The 17,781-nt window shown below is 37.4% G+C and overlaps 1 protein-coding gene across 1 annotated transcript in view; it reads right to left on the bottom strand.

Annotated features, from left to right (window-relative positions):
• Positions 1–17,781, bottom strand: part of KMT2C (lysine methyltransferase 2C) — a 301,079-nt gene that overhangs the window by 176,523 nt on the left and 106,775 nt on the right. Inside the window, exons 4-5 of the mRNA NM_170606.3 lie at positions 3,691–3,891; positions 351–499 (exon numbers count right to left, since the gene is read on the bottom strand). Coding sequence (NP_733751.2) covers positions 351–499; positions 3,691–3,891 — 350 coding nt within the window. The remainder of the gene's footprint in view (positions 1–350; positions 500–3,690; positions 3,892–17,781) is intronic.

The following is a 17,781-nucleotide window of genomic DNA, read 5'->3' on the forward strand; positions in this document are numbered from 1 at the left end:
CCCAAATAAAATAGACTCAGAATGCCACATTCCCCAAGTTCTCACTTTAAAATTTTCCCCTTTAAAATTTTCTCTTTTCTCAATTGTCAGATCTCCATGGCACCGCTATCTACACAAGAAAAAATACAAGTATTTTAAAAAGCATCCAGTCCGGTGGTGGTACTGTACAGATTTTAAATAGATAAACCTTTTCTTTTACCTAACCAGGCATATTTAATAATGATTTTTTTATAGTATGATTATAATTATTTCTAGATGAAAGGTATTTATTATTGAGGACATTAATAATGTATTAAAATTAAAATGCTTCCAGAATTAAGAGGCAGTCATTATTGAAAACATGCCCATACCTGTAGAATCAAATAAGGCTTGGATATCAATGGCATCTGGAAGCCCAACCAGACTGAGTTCATCCCACAGTTTACCAGCTTGATCATCTGAAGCTGTCTGGGTGCTTACACTTACACAAGATACTATATTCTGCTGAGGAGATCGTTCTCTGAAAATAAAATAAAATAACTGTGAAAGTGAAAACAAGCAGAAAATTGTTTCATTTTTAACTGTTTAAATGCAATGTACTGCCAAATCAATTTTAATTTATCAGCCATTAACTGTCATAAAACAACTTTTAGAATTCATCTGTTAGTATTATCCATGGTATAATATTAAACTGGGTTGCCATATTATATCGTATAAGTAACAAGTAAGAAAAAGAGTCTCCAAACCCACAGGGAAGTATTAAATTGTAAATTTGTTTTTCCATTCCATAATATAATGTTTTTAAAACCAACTCTCATATCCTAGTCAGGAATTGTATTTAACACATAAACTGAGTATTTCCTTTGGCTTTACTTAAACGCTTACAAAACAAAACTTGATCAAATCAGAAATGTTTAGTCTGCTGTATCTTGACTGAGGACTGCCACAACAGAGGTGGCAGTTAACTGTGTAAAGAAAGGATATTTTCCAGGGAAAATGAAAACCCACTACAGAGTGTGAAAACAGAGGCAGGAGGAATGGAATGTATCAGCTGTAGCTTTCTTATGGTCCCGTCAACAAATCTCAACAGCTGGTCTGTGGCATGACGTTGCAAGTACTCTCAATCAAGACTGTATGTCACAAATTGGAAGTAAAAAGCAAAAGCAAAATAGCTACCAAAGGCATGTAGAATAAGGAAGATAGTATAACAGCAAAAACTATAGTCTAAAAAAAGAACATTGAATAAAGTAAACAACATATGGGAGATTTCAGGCTTTCAAGGTCTAACACTTTAGGTATTATTTAAGACCATTAAATAAATAAAAATGGCTATTGTACTTAATTATTAAATATGGGAAATCAGATGACTACCACTAAAACTTAAATCTTCTCCTAATATCATAGTATTTAACCTGATCATAATTCTGGATTAAATCACTATTGAATATAGATCATAACTCACTGCACTTCTGTATGCTGGATATTTATCATGATTCCTATTAAGAGAAAATCAGCACAATGACCAGGGTACTAAACATTTTTATACCTGGAATCATTGAAAGAAAAAAAGTATTAACATATTTCAATAAGTACATTTAAATATCAAACCATATAAAAATAACCAGTAATGTTTTTATGTTCAGCATTAGAAATGCATAGACTTTTTTTAAAAGGTATAGCATGCTATGCTAACTTTAAATTCTCATTTTAATAAATGCCCACAGTAAAATGAGAACAAATTCTTTCCTATAAGTATAATCTCTATTCCTACAAATATATGCTCCATTACAAATCATTGTTATTTTATTGGGAGAAAAAAAAAAGACCAACAGTTCATCTATAACTACTAAATGTTGTTTTAGCATACTGTTTTGCACTAGTATTTGATGAGGGAAAGGGGTGTAAAAAAACCAAGAGAATGACTAATTTATTACTAATCAGGTCCTAACCAGCAGCTTAATCAAATTCAACCTTCAAGTTTTGAGACTGGTTTGTATGTATATACCATATCAGTAAGATATCAATGTCAACACTAAGGATGACAGCAGCCCAGCTTAGAAAGAGATATCAAGAGGAATCAGCTGAAATGCATACCCACAAAATTCTTAGTTATAAAACAAAAAAAGGAAAAAAATTCTTGATTTTTTTATTTAGTGAAAATGAGCAAAGACATTTTCAAAACCTTTGTAAAATTGTTTTTTAAATTAACTAGCTATTTAAACTTCATTAGCAACATACATTTTGTAAATATTTGAAATCATTACCAAGCTAAATTAATTGCCTACCCTTCAATGATGCCAAATTTTTAAGTGTACTTCATTAACTGCCATATTATCATTACTTATTAAGTTGGTAAGCACTAAGTATATATAAAGACTTTCGTTTAACAAAGGCTATTTTTATATAATTATCTGAGCTCATAAGAATTTTCACTAAAAATTAATTTCACTTTTAAAACAAGGAAATGAAACCAATTCCATTTCTCAGGAGAGGATTTTATATAATTGCCATTATTTAAGGCAGAACATGAGGATATAAGATACAGCCTGATTCACTCCATTAAATTTGCTAATAGACATTTTAAGTTTGCTGGCCTTTTGATTATTTTATTAAGATGTGTGTACTCAACTGACAACTAAAGAAAAAGCTATAGCCTCCAAAACATCACAACTCTCCAAATATAGTACTTCTAAGTTTCCTTAAACTGTTCCACCTTAAATTCTTTTAAAAGATTCTCCCTCTTTTTATTGTTTCATTTCCTACTTCAGGTCTTCAAGGCATTGGCAGCAGTTCAAAACAATGAGCCAATCAAATAAGTACAACACAACAATGATTTAGTACTTAAATTTGGATATAAGCCAGATAAGCACTTGAGTGATTACATCATAACCCTCAAGAGGCAGTGTTAGCTTTGCAAGCTAAATTAATTTTTACACATTCTCATCAACTACAGAAACTTCTACTCCCTTAACCAGCACAGCCAAGTCTCCATATTAATATGGTCTTTAAACACAACTGTACAAAATATTTTAAACTATATCAGACAAGACCTTTAGGTAATTACAATGTGCCCGTGAATACAGACATACACACATCATTACAAAAAAAAAATTCCTTAAAAAAGAAAAAAGCATCTTCTGGGAGGGAAGGCAGGGGAGGGAGGGAGGGAAGAATGTATAGGACAGTGCAACATTTTCTGAAGCACACAAACTTATATATAAATTAAATAAATGACTGAATGGATTGATGAATGAATGACACAAAAGACATGAGTAGTGAAAACCAATTCTGGATTTGCTATTGTATTATGTTATATTCTTAAAATTAAAAGCTTATTTAGAGAAACAAAAGAAGGACTTTATTGATCTGTTTTATTATTACATTATTTCCATTTATAAATTCCATGAACTCCCTCCCTCTCAGCTTGTGTTATGTTCTTTGAAGTTTTCTTCCAAAAGTTTAGTTTTGTGATCACACCGCTTTCATATACAATTAATATAAACTTTTTAAAAAATAACAAGAAAAATTTGTGAAAAGGATAGTTTGTTGGATTAATTGGGTTAATGGTGAGTCAGAGTATCCCATAAATGTGGAGAACAGGAGAAACTGTTCAACAAGAACAATCCCATTTGAAAATTTATAAACATTATAATGGAAATAAATTATATGCAGTCTTAATCTATTCCAACATTTAAAGTCGAAACTGCTTACTTTCTCTGTCCTCTTTGTTTTCGTGGTGCTGAGTTTTGCATTTTCTCATAGGTTCCATTGCTGTTGTCATCAATGTCCTTCTTGTTAGAAGGTTGGTTTCTCCATGGCAAGATAAATCCAGGCGTTATTCTGAATTGTTTTAAGTCTCCTTGTCCTAAGGAACTTTTTTCCCCACAGTAACAAAAAGCGCAGAGCTGTTCACTAGTAAAAATGAAATGTAAGTCAGAGAAGGAGAAAAGTAGCTTTATTCAACTGCTTTAAGCGATAACTATAGATACTTGTGCTTTTAAATTATGTCTAAAGCACAAGCTAAGCTTTTCAATCTATTTTCTACAGTCTATTCAGTGATTACCCATAAGAACAATTAAGTTTAATAATTATACATTTGGAATTCTACTTTTCCATAGCATTTTAAAAAGTAGTACACATATCAAATCCAAAAAATTCTAGTTAGCAGTTAGAAAAGTTATTTTCTTTTATATTTGACTAGAAAAAAATCCAAGTAAGAAAGCTAAAGGTGGGGGCCAAGCACGGTGGCTCATGCCTGTAATCCCAGTACTCTGGGAGGTGGAAGTTCGAGACCAGCCTGTCCAACGTGGTGAAACCCCATCTCTACTAAAAATACAAAAATTAGCTGGGTGTGGTGGCACACCCCTGTAATCCCAGCTACTCGGGTGGCTGAGGCACCTCGCTTGTATCCGGGAGGTAGAGGTTGTAGTAAGCTGAGATTGAACCACTGCACTCCAGCCTGGGTGACAGAGCAAGACTCTGTCTCAGGAAACAAAAAAAATGCAAGTTAAAAATGGGAAAGAAGGTAGAGTTTAGTAGCCACCCAACTGTATGACAGTTCTGTAAAACATATGGTGACAGTTTTATTTAACCACTTGATAGAACGTTCATTATGCATGATATATATATACCACACACATGCATACACACGGGGAGATATAAAAATATAAACTTAAATAGTTCCTGGGTTGAGTGGTAGTAGATTTTTAGGGAAGCAGAAGAGCTGAACTGGAAGAAGGAAAGGGATGATTAGGAGCAAAGGGGATTTTTTAGGCCAGTGAAACCATTTTATATGATACTATAATGGTAGATACTGAGCCCTAATGTAAACTATGGACTGTAGTTAAAAATAATGTATCCATATTGGTTTACCAACTGTAACACAGCACACAATACTAATCATGAGGGAAACTGCTGGGGGTAGAGGTGGGAGAATGAGCTCAATTTTTGTGTAAACCTAAAAATGCTCTAAGTCTATTAATAAAAAAGGAGAAAACATTAAAAAATTAAGAGACAACAATCAATATACATATATAGAATATACACTTACTAAGAGATCTTAGAAAGAATGAAATTAAAAGGACTGCTTCCTCTTGATTATATTTACACTTCACAAGATATTTACTGCTGCTATACCCAAATCCTCCTTCTTGGGCATTAAAGTTACCTCTACAGTATTTACCCCATGATCTTACATATCTTGCATTACCAGGTGATAGAACTAACCTATAGCCTTTTGAGGTGACTTTTTAAAACTTAGGTTTAAATCATATTGGACTCTCAACTAATTACTTTTATCAAAATTAGCTTTGTTTTTGTAATAAATTACCTATTTCAAGTTCATGAGAAACTATGTTGTCTGCTGGTACCGAGACATACACAAATTAAATGTAGTGTAATTTCAAAAAAAAAAATCAAGTCAAGTTGAAAAAGAAAATTTCTTCTTTCCAAAAAGAGACCACCACCTTATGCTTTGCCAGTATCTTACTATCCCCTTATTTGTAATGTTCTCTGAGCTATTAAGCTTACATTTATTTCACCATATCCCATTTCTGGTTTGTTTCTTCCCCTAGAAACACTACCCATGAGAAGCAACAATCAGATTGACATTAGTCTTATCAACATTGATTGTAACAGCACTGATTAGAAAATGGAGCAATATTTTAAAGCTATTGCAGAAAAATACCTTAGCATTCAATTTTATATTCAAAACTATCGCTTAAATGTGAAGGTATAATAAAATTACTCTCTGGCTTAGAAGACCTCAGAAATTTTGCCAGACAACAGATCAAAAATGAAAATACTTTTAGAGAAGTACTTAAATTATTAAAGAATTAGAAAAGGTTGTATGAAGTAAGGGAGGTCAAACACCTCAGAGTAATTTATTGTTGACTTTTTTTTAATACGAGGTCAAGGGAAATTTCTAGCTTTTGGTCTGGCTGTAGAAAGCTGCAAACAACATTGTGCCCAACCACACAACATAACCCAACCAGAGAATCTGCAAATTCACTTTTCTGAAACCCATCAGAGGGCAGAAATCACAAGGCAACCAACTCACCACCAAATGAAAGACACTTCCATAAAGAAATGTGACAATAGCACCTCTGAGGAAGAGGCCACTGATATCATACCAGCAGGGTGATAAGAACTCAGTAAAAATTTTTAAGAAATTGCTAGAAGCCAAGTGTGAAACACAGTGAGACTATGTTAACACCTGTGACCAAAGACAGGGGAATTCTAACCCACACAAAGGCTCCTCTTCATGTACCTCATTAGATGTCACGCACTACAGCAACTCAGCCAGGAACAGTGGCTCACACTGCAACCCCAGTGCTTTGGGAGGTCAAGGCAGGAGGATTGCTTAACCCCAGGATTTTGAGACCAGCCTGGGCAACATAGTGAGACCCTGCCTGTATTTTAAAAAGAAAAAGAGGATGGGCATGGTGGCTCACACCTGTAATCCCAGCACTTTGGGAGGCCGAGACGGGCAGATCACAGGTCTGGAGTTCGAGACCAGCCCAGCCAACATGGTGAAACCCCGTCTCTACTAAAAATACAAAAATTAGCCAGGCATGGTGGCAGGCGCCCGTAATCCAAGCTACTCGGGAGGCTGAGGCAGGAGAATCACTTAAACCCAGGAGGCGGAGGTTGCAATGAACTGAGATCGTGCCACTGCACTCCAGCCTAGGCGACAGAGCAAGACTCCACCTCAAAAACAAATAAAAGAAAGAAAAAACATATATACAGTGACTAAAAAACATTTTCTAAAATAGCATACGAAATCTTACTAGCCATTACAATAATGTAAACCAAAACCACCAATTAAAAGGCAAAAATCACCAATTAAAAGACCATTTTTGAGATTAGATTAAAATTAGATCTAACAATTGGGTGCAGCTGGGTGTGGTGGCACACACCTGTAATCCCAGCACTTTGGGAGGCCTAGTTGGGCAGATCACCTGAGGTCAGTTCGAAATCACTCTGGCCAACATGGTGAAGCACACACCACCCACCCACCCCCTCCCCATCTCTACTAAAAATACAAAAAAATTAGCCAGGCATTGATGGTGTGCGCCTGTAATCCCAGCTACTCGGGAGGCTGAGGCAGGGGAATTGTTTGAACCAGGGAGGTAGAGGTTGCAGTGAGCCGAGATCGCACCACTGCCCTCCAACCTGGGCAACAGAGCAAGACTCCATCTCAAAAAAAAAAAAAAAAAAAAAATAGGTGCAAAAAATGTTGGAAGTATAAACACAAATGACATATAAAACAAGGACAAAAATGTTGATGGGAAAAGAGGTAAAAAGATACCAGGCAAACATAAACCAAAAGGAAGTTTGAGTGGCAATAATTTTATCAGACAAAATGAAAGTTATGTCAAAAAGAAAACATGACATTAGAGATGAAAAAGATGTTACACACTAACAAAATGATGAATAGTATAATAGATATCGATCATAACCATATACTCAGACCAACATGAATCTGGTCTCAAAATGAATCTCGAATCTGAAAGAGATGGTTAAGCATCTCCAATCTGAAAATCCAAAATCTGAAATGCTCCGAAATTCAAAACTTTTTAAGCACCAACATGATATCACAAGTAGAAAATTTCACACCTAAGTACTTAATATAAACTTTGTTTCAAGCATAAAATTACTTAAATATTCTATAAAATTACCTTCAGGCTATGTGTATAAGGTATATACGAAACATAAATGAATTTCTGTGGGCAGCAAGCCACCCAGGTGCCGAGGCAAGAGACCAAGGGCACGAGCTGTTCCAGTATAACAAAATATATAAAATAAGAATAGTTATATAGATCATAGATATGATTATACATGAATATCATTAATCATTAGTTTGTAGCAATTACTCTTTATTCCAATATTATAATAATCCTCACTCTACAATCATAACCTAGGAAAAACCAGGCCATACAGCAATAGGAGCTGAGGGGACATAGTGAGAAGTGACCAGAAGACAAGAGTGCGAGCCTTCTGTTATGCCCAGACAGGGCCACCAGAGGAGTCCTTGGTCCCAGCGTCTGGGAAGACACCTGTTGCCAAGTGGACCGTGGTCTAGCGGTAGCGTCAGTGTCAAGGAAAAACACCCACTACTTAGCAGACCGGGAAAGGGAGTCTCTAAACTCTTTTAGAGTTTAGAGAAGACTCTACTCCTCCACCTCTTGTGGAGGGCCTGACATCAGTCAGGCCCGCCCGCAGTTATCCAGAGGCCTAACCGTCTGCCTGTGATGCCGTGCTGCAGTGGTCACGCTCCTAGTCCGCCTTCATGTTTCATCCTGTACAGCTGGCTCTGCCTTTTAGATAGCAGTAGAAAATTAGTGAAAGTACTAAAAGTCTCTGATAAGCAGAAATAATGGCATAAGCTCTCCCTCTCCCTCTCCCTTTCCCTCTCTCTGCCTCAGCTGCCAGGCAGGGAAGGGCTCCCTGTCCACTGGACATGTGACCCACGTGACCTTACCTATCACTGGAGATGGCTCACACTCCTTACCCTGCCCCTTTGTCTTGTATCCAATACATATCTGCGCAGCCTGGCATTCAGGGCCACTACCGGTCTCCGCGTCTTGGTGGTAGTGGTCCCCCGGGCCCAGCTGTCTTTTCTTTTATCTCTGTCTTGTGTCTTTATTTCTATACTCTCGTCTCCGCACACGGGGAGAAAACCCACCGAACCTGTGGGGCTGGACCCTACAAATTTCATGTTTATACATGTCTCCCATCCCCAAAATATCTTATTATGTATGTGCAAATATTCCAAAATCCAAAAAAAATCCAAAATCCAAAACACATCTGGTCCCAAACATTTTGTTTTTGTTTTTTTTGAGATGGAGTCTCACTCCGTTGTCCAGGCTGGAGTGCAATGGTACGGTCTTGGCTCACTGTAACCTCCACCTCCTGGGTTCAAGCAATTCTCCTGCCTCAGCCTCCCGAGTAGCTGGGACTACAGGCACACGCCACAACATCTAGCTAATTTTTGTATTTTTAGTAGAGACGGAGTTTTGCCATGGTGGCCAGGCTGGTCTCAAACTCCTGGCCTCAGGTGATCCACCTGCCTTGGCCACCTAAAGTGATGGAATTACAGGCATGAACCACCACACCTGGCCTGTCCCAAGCATTTTGGATAGGAGAAACTCAACCTGAGTTTCTCAGAACAAAACTGGAAGACTAAAAAAATTAAATCAACAACAGTGGAAGATTTTAATTATTTTTCTCAGAAAATACTATGTCAAACCAATAAAAATTAAGTATTGAACATCTTTATTGTTCATTATTTATTAATTACCTGAGCATAATAAATTAGTTTGAGATACTATATTCAGCTCTATCTACAACTAACGGTTCACATTCTTTTCAAGTATATTAAAATATTTCAAGAGTGGATTACATAGTAGGCCATAAAAGAATACATGATACATAGCAAGTGACCAACATCATGCAGGCAACATTCTCTGACAATAATGCAGTAAAACTAAAAATGTATAATAAATGGATAACTTAAAATCTTCTGGCCAGGTGCAGTGGCTCATGCCTATAATTCCAACACTTTAGGAGGCTGAGGCAGGTGGATCACCTGAGGTCAGCAGTTTGAGACCAGCCTGACCAACATGGCGAAACCCCGTCTCTACTAAAAATACAAAAGTTAGCTGGGTATGGTGGCACACGCCTGTAGTCCCAGCTACTCAGGAGGCTGAGGCAGGAGAATCGCTTGAACCTAGGAGGTGGTGGTTCCAGTGAGCCAAGATCGCACCATTGCATAGCCTGGGCAACAGAGCAAGACTCCCTTTCAAGAAAATAAATAAATAAATAAATAAATAAATTTGGAAACTAGAAAAGATATTGTTTAAGAATCTTTCACTTAAAATGGAAATCCCAATATGTGAAATAAAATCATAATGAAAATACTGAATATAAAATTGATATAAAATATAAAATACTGAATATAAAAATTTCAATATATTACTGGAAGTCCTAGGCAGAGCAATATGGTCAAGAGAAAGACATAAGGGATCCCAGTAGGAAAGGAAGAAGTGAAACTGTCTTTATTTGCTGATGGCATGATCTTATATATGGAAAACCCTAAAGACTCCACCAAAAAACTGTTAGAACTAATAAACAAATTTGATAAAGTAGCAGGATACAAAGTAAATATACAAAAATCAGTAGCATTTCTATATACTAACAGCAAACGATCCTAAAAGAAAATTAATGTAATAATCCCATTTACAATAGCAACAAAAAAATTAAATACTTAGGTGTAATTTCAACCAGGGAGGTAAAAGACCTGTATACTGAAAACCATAAAACTCACAAAAGAAATTTAAGAAAACATCAAGAAATGGGAAGATATCCTATGTTCATGGACTGGAAGAATTAATACTGTGAAACTAACTGTCCATACTACCCAAAGTGATCTACAGATTCAATGCAATATCTATCGAAATTCCAATGTCAATTTTCACAGAAATAAATTATCCTTAAATTTATATGGAAGCACAGAAGACATCAAACAGCCGAAACAACCTTGAGCAAAAAGAACAATGCTGGATGCATCACCCTGTCTGATTTCAAAACATTACAAAATGATTGTAATCAAAATAGTATGGTACTGGCACCAAAAAAAAAAAAACCATACATCTGGACAGGCATGGTGGTTCACACTTGTAATGCCAGCACTTGGGTAGGCTGAGGCAGGCAGACTGCTTGAGCCCAGAGTCTGAAACCAGCCTGGGCAACATGGTGAAACCCCGTCTCTACTAAAAATACGAAAATAAGCCAGGGGTGGTAGTGAACACCTGTAGTCCCAGGTACTCAAGAGGCTGAGGTGGGTGGACGGCTCCAGCTCAGAAGACAGAGGTTGCAGAAAGCCAAGATCACACCACCGCACTCCAGCCTGGGCTACAAATACCACCCTGGCTCAAAAAACAAGAAGACACATCGACCAATGGAACAGGAATGAACTCACGCATTTACACTAAGTTGATTTATAACAAAGATGCCAAGAAAACACAATGGGTAAAGAACTGTCTCCTCAATAAATGGCACTGAAAAAACTGTATATCCATATGCACAAGAATAAAATCATACCCTTGTCTCACATAACACAAAAAATCAATTCAAAATAGATGAAAGTCTTATGTTTCGGATGTCAAACTATAAAACTACTAGAATAAAACATAGGGAGAAAGTTCCATGTGGGCAATAACTTTTTGGATATGACCCTGAAAGCATAGGCAACAAAAGCAGTAATAGACAAATGGGATGGCTAAACCACCAAGCTCCTTACGGCAAATGAAAATATTAACAAAGTAAAGAGACAACCCACAGAATGGGAGAAAATATTTAATATCCAAAATATATATGGAACCCAAATAAACAGCAAGAAAACAACCTGATTAAAAAATGGGCAAAGGACCTGAACAGACATTTCTCAAAAGAACACATACAAATGGCCAACAGGTACATGAGAAAATGTTCAGCATCACTACTCATTAGGGAAATGAAAATTAAAACAAGTATATATCACGTAACACCTGGCTATTGGCTAACACCTAACAAATGGCTACTATTAAAAAGATGAAAGATAAGTATTGCCAAGGATACAGAAAAAATGGGAGTCCTGTACATTGCTGTGGGGGTGTCAATTAGTATAGCCATTATGGAAAATGGTAAAGAGGTTCCTCAAAAAACTAAAAATAGAATTACCATATAATCTAGTAATCACACTTCTGGGTATATATCCAAAGGAACTGAAATCAATGTCAAAAGGATATCTGCATGCCCATGCTTACTACAGCATTACTTACAATAGCCAGATATGGAATCAACCTAAGTATCCATCAATAGATGAATGGATAAAGAAAACATGGTATATATAAACAATGGAATACTATTCAGCCTTGAAAAGCGGGAGGATGGGGAGTGGTGGCTCATGCCTATAATCCCAGCACTTCGGGAGGCCAAGGCTGGAGGACTGCTTGAGCCCAGATATTCAAAACCAGCCTGGGCAACACAGTAAGACTCCATCTCTACATAAAATTTTAAAAATTAGCCTGGTGTGGTGAGCACACAACTGTAGTCCCAGCCACTTGGAGGCTGTGGTGGGAGGATTGCCTGAGCCCAGGAAGTTGAGACTGCAGTGAGTTGTGAGCATGGCACTGTACTCCAGCCTGGGCAACAGAGTGACACCCTTTCAAAGAAAAAAAAAAAGAGAGAGAAAGAGAAAGAAAGGAAGGAAAGAAAAAAAGGAAAGAAGGAAGGAAGGAAGGGAAGGAGGGAGGGACGAAGGGAGAGAAGGAAGGAAAAAAGAGGGAGGGAAGGGGAGGTAGAAAAAGAGGGGGAGGGGAAGGGAAGGGAGGCAGGGAGGGGAGGGGAAGGGGATTAAGGAAGAGTGGGGAGAGAGAGAGAGAGAGAAGCGGGAGGGACCTGTCATCTGCAACAACTCAGATGAATCTAGAGGATATCATGCTAAGTGAAATAATCCAGGCACAGAAAGACAAATACGGCATGATCTCACTTATATGTAGAATCTAAAAAAGTTGAACTAAAAGAACCAGTAGTAGAGTGATGGTAACCAGACACTCGGAGAAGGTAAGGCAGGAAGAAGGAAATAGTAAGTTGTTGGTCAAAGGATATGAAGATTGAGATAGGAGGAATAGGTTTTGAGATATACTACATAGTAGGGTGACCTATATTTTAAAATAACAATTTGGTGCAAAGGATACGAAGGTTGAGACAGGAGGAATAGGTTTTGAGATACAGTGCATAGCAGGGTGACCTATATTTTAAAATAACTATTAGTTTGGTGCAAAAGTGATTGTGGTTCTGCCATTAAAAGTAATGGCAAAAACCGCAATCACTTTTGCACCAACTTAAGAGTAAATTTCAAGTAACAAATGAGAGTTAATCAAGGTAATGGATGTTAATTTACTTGATTCAATCATTCCACTTTGCATTCATGAATTGAAACATCACACTGTACTCATAAATGTACAATTAGGATTTGCCAATCAAAAATAACATTCAAAAATAATAAATGTATCATGAATCATTTTAGATAAAATGTATATGTTCTGAGAAAAATATAACATGAGAAAATTGGTACAAGATGAAACAGACAGCTGAATAGAAAAAAATTTGGAAGTGGGGAGCAAATTTATGGAATACATATTCCAAGAAAAAAAATCTTTGAATTGAACTGGTAATGACTTCATTTTCTAGAAGAAACCCCACAGACCCATGTAATTTTATGACAGTTACTTCAGACCTACATGGAGTCAATTCCTGTCTTAAACTAGCTGTTCCAGAAAATAAGAAAACTGAAAGATGCCTCACACACGAGGCTAGTGTAATTTTGTCTCCAAAACTAGGACATTACAATATTACAAAAATTCATATTGCTTATGAACATAAACAAAATATTAGCTAACTAAAACCCAACAGCATGTTTAAAAAATGTCATAATCAAGTAATGTTTATTGAAAGTAATCGAGTAATGTTTATTGCAAGTAATCAAGTAATGCTTACTGCCTTCTACAGAAGCTTCTTCTTATTGCATTGTTTTGCTTCATTTTTAAATACATATGAACATAAGTTCTTTGTTAGTTATATGCTTTAGAAATATTTTTCCCTTTTCTGTCATTTATCTTTTTACTCTTGGTATTTTTCATGAAAAGTTGTAAATTTAAGTATAGTGGTATTAATCAATCCTTTTCTTTTCTTTTTTTGAGATGCAGTTTCTCTCTTGTCGCCCAGGCTGGAGTGCAATGGTGCGATCTTGGCTCACTGCAACGTCCACCTCCCAGGTTCAAGCAATTTTGCCTCAGCCTCCCAAGTAGCTGGGACTACAGGTGCCCACCACCACGCCCAGCTAATTTTTGTATTTTTAGTAGAGATGGGGTTTCACCATGTTGGCCAGGCTGGTCCCAAACTCCTGACCTCAGGGATCCACCCACCTTAGCCTCCCAAAGGGCTGGGATTACAGGCATGAGCCACCGCACCCGGCCCCTTTTCTTTTTATGTGTGTTTTTTTTTTTTGAGACAGGGTCTCACTATGTCACCCAGGCTGGAGTGCAGTGGCAGGATCACAGCTCACTACAGCCTCGACCTCCTGGGCTCAAGCGATCCTCCCACCTCAGCCTCCTGAGTAGCACCACCAAGTCCTACTAATTTTTGTATTTTTTGTAGAGACAGGGCTTTGTCATGTTCAAGTCAGGCTGGTCTCGAACTCCTGGGCTCAAGCAATCCTCCTGCCTCAACCTCCCAAAGTGCTAGGATTATAGGCATGAGCCACTGTGCCTGGCCAATCAACCCTTTTCTATAATTAGGGCTTTCCATTTGTTTTTTAAAAGTCTTTCCTTACCCCAAAGCAATGAAGAAATTCCTCTACATTAACTTCTTTTATTAATTTGCTTCTCACGTGTTAAGTCTATAAATTAACTGGAGTAGACATGAATAAATTAGGTCTTTCTTTTTTTTTTTTTTTAAAGTATGTCTAATTGTTCTAGCACAATTGTTGAAAGAGACTTCCTTCCTCACTAATTTGTGATGCCCCTTTGTTATAAATAACCTGTCCATATTAATCATGTATCTGTATCTGGGTTCCCTATTCTGATCCATTGGTCTATTTGTCTGTTTCTGTGGTAATACAGCACTGACTTAATTTATTAGTGTGTTACAAAAAGTCTTAGTATCAAGTAAAGCAATCCTTCCTCTTCTTCATGGGTCCTTTGGCTTATCCTGTCTTTTGCATATTCATATAAATTAAGATCAGCTTGTAAAATTTACTGTAGAAATTTTTATTAGAATTTTCTTGAACCTACACATCAATTGGGAAAGAATATCTTTAAAATACTGAATCCCCTAAAATGTGAGTATTATACTGCTATTATGTCTGTGATCCTTAATCTTTCCAAAAAGTTTTATAATTTTCTCTATAAAAGTCTTACATTTTTGCACATAATCCTAGTCACATATTATTTTATATTATTGGAAAATATTCTAAAAAATACCATTTAACTCTGTTCCTAATATATAAAAATACATGTGATTTTTGCATTTTGATTTTGTTATCTAGTAATCTTGCTAAAATCCTATTAATTATACATATTCATTTAGAACATTTTATATACTGCACCATTAAAATTCATTAAATTCAGGCCGGGGACGGTGGCTCACGCCTGTAATCCCAGCACTTTGGGAGGCCGAGATGTGCAGATCACGAGGTCAGGAGATCGAGACCATCCTGGCTAACATGGTGAAACCCTGTCTCTACTAAAAATACAAAAAAATTAGCCGGGTGTGGTGGCAGGCGCCTGTGGTCCCAGCTACTTGGGAGGCTGAGGCAGGAGAATCGCGCGAACCCGGGAGGCGGAGCCTGCAGTGAGCTGAGATCGTGCCACTGCACTCCAGCCTGGGCGACAGAGCAAGACTCTGTCTCAAAAAAAATAAAATAAAATAAAATTCATTAAATTCAATCTGTTCATCCTATTTTAAGGAAACTGTGGGACAGAGAGATAAAAATGAATAAATAAAGGTCAAAAAGTCGGAGCTTGGAATAAACACCAAGTCTGTATTTACAGTATGCTGGCTTTCTCAGTGTACATTCACTCTGTCCTGTCTAATGAAAATAACAGTGGTAGTGGTAGTATAGCCCAGGATAAATAAATAACAATGGCATTGCTTATTAATCTACCTCAAGGTTATTTTTCCATGTGGCATGAGCATCAATCTACCTATATTTTTTACATGGATAGCCAATTATTGAGTGACCTATTCTTTTCCACTGATAGGCCATGATTATTATAAATGAAATTATCATATATTCATGAGTAGCTTTTAACTTTCATTCTCTGTACAAGTATTAGATGAGGACTAACAGTGACAGTGTGCTACTCACAGGTGACAAAAAGATAAGTCAGTCAGGCATACTGTGTCCTTAAGATCTGCAGAAGAACCAAGCAAGAAGGTTAAGAACTACAATGGGTTCCCGAAGTAGGCCTAGAGGATACAGAGGCACAGAATACTTTCAGAAGGCTCTCAGGCACCTGCTCTAAACTAGCAAATATTCTGCATTCTGTACCTCTCAATACCACATATGCATTACACCATTTCTAATCTCTATATAACACATAGCAAAAAGTAAAGTTCATGGTAGTATCAAACTACAAAAATTTAAGCAGAACTTTAAATGCTTTTCAATCAACTAGAATTCATTATTCATTAAAAATATATTGGGCCGGGCGCGGTGACTCACGCCTGTACTCCCAACACTTTGGGAGGCCAAGGCGGGTGGATCACGAGGTCAGGAGATCAAGGCCATCCTGGCTAACACATTGAAACCCCGTCTCTACTAAAAATACAAAAAATTAGCCGGGCGTGGTGGCGGGCACCTGTAGTCCCAGCTACTCAGGAGGCTGAGGCAGAAGAATGGCGTGAACCCAGGAGGTGGAGCTTGCAGTGAGCCAAGATCGCGCCACTGCATTCCAGCCTGGGCAACAGAGCGAGACTCCGCCTCAAAAAAAAAAAAAAAAAAGAAAAAAGAAAAAAAAATTTATACAGCACCTAATCTCCGTCAGGAACTATTAAGTGCAGGACACAGTGTGGTGAACAAAGCCCACCAACAAAGTGCGTGTCTTCAGAGTTCACATGACAGTCAAATGAACTGTTGGAAAATAATAAGTGCCACAAAGAAAAATAAAGCAGGTTACTATGTAAAATATGGTGGGAGCTGCTGTTTTCTTTTCCATCCTACTCCTTTATTTTGAAAATGTTCAAACCTCCCAAAAAATATTGGAGGAGGAGGAGAGGACTACAGTATAACAAACACCAGTGTGTTCTTTCGTTGATTCACATTGTATGTTCTTTTTCCTAAGCTGACTGAGACTAAGCTGGATGTGGCCCTTCAGAGGAGGCTAGTATTATCAGCAAGGTAGCCTCTCTGGGAGGTAAGCCAGGAGACAAGCAGAGCAAGCACCAAAGCTCTCAGACAGAAACCCCATCAGCACATTTAAAAGAGTGAGGCCAATGTGGTGAGAGCACAGTGAGTGACAAATGACATGAGAGAGGCAGTCAGGAACAGATCACACCTTGTAGACATGGTAAGTACTTGAAATTATGAATATAATTTAAATATAATAGTCATGAAAGAGAGTGGAGAGTGGGGACCTGATTATCATTATTAGAATAATTTTTGCAACTGTGCTATAAACAAATTGGACTATGGAAAGGTAAAGAGAAGCAGAAAGACTGGTTAAAAGGCTACTACAACTTCCAAAGGATAACAGTGACTTCAACTAAAATGTTAGGCAAGTTAAGACACTAACAAGTTGTTTGGGTTATCGAGTTGAGCTACAAGGTATGAGAAAAGATAGAAATCAAGGATTAACTTTCAAAGTTTCTGGACTAAACAACTGAGTGAATACTGGCATTATTTATTGAAATGAGGAAATCGTAGGGAGAAGCAGATTTGGGGCAGAGGTGGAGGCAGAATCAAGCATGGTACTGGACATGTTAAGGGTGAGGTGTCTAATACACTTCCAAATAGAGACGTCAAGCAGACAGTTGGACATAAAAGTCTGGAGTTCAGGTAAAGAAGAGTAACGGAAATGAACACGTGAGACTCTTAAGGGCACACACAGAGGTTACAGCCATTAGAATGAATGAGCTTTCTTTCCCAGGGAGTGAACAGAGACAAAAAGTAGACAAGATATCTGAGGACTTATCCTTAAGAACTCCAAAATTATAAACATGTAGAGTCTCCACAGCAACTAGCAAAAGATAAAATGA

The sequence above is a fragment of the Homo sapiens genome, chromosome 7 (genome assembly GCF_000001405.40).
Source record: "Homo sapiens chromosome 7, GRCh38.p14 Primary Assembly".
In the NCBI taxonomy this organism is placed as follows: Eukaryota; Metazoa; Chordata; class Mammalia; order Primates; family Hominidae; genus Homo; species Homo sapiens.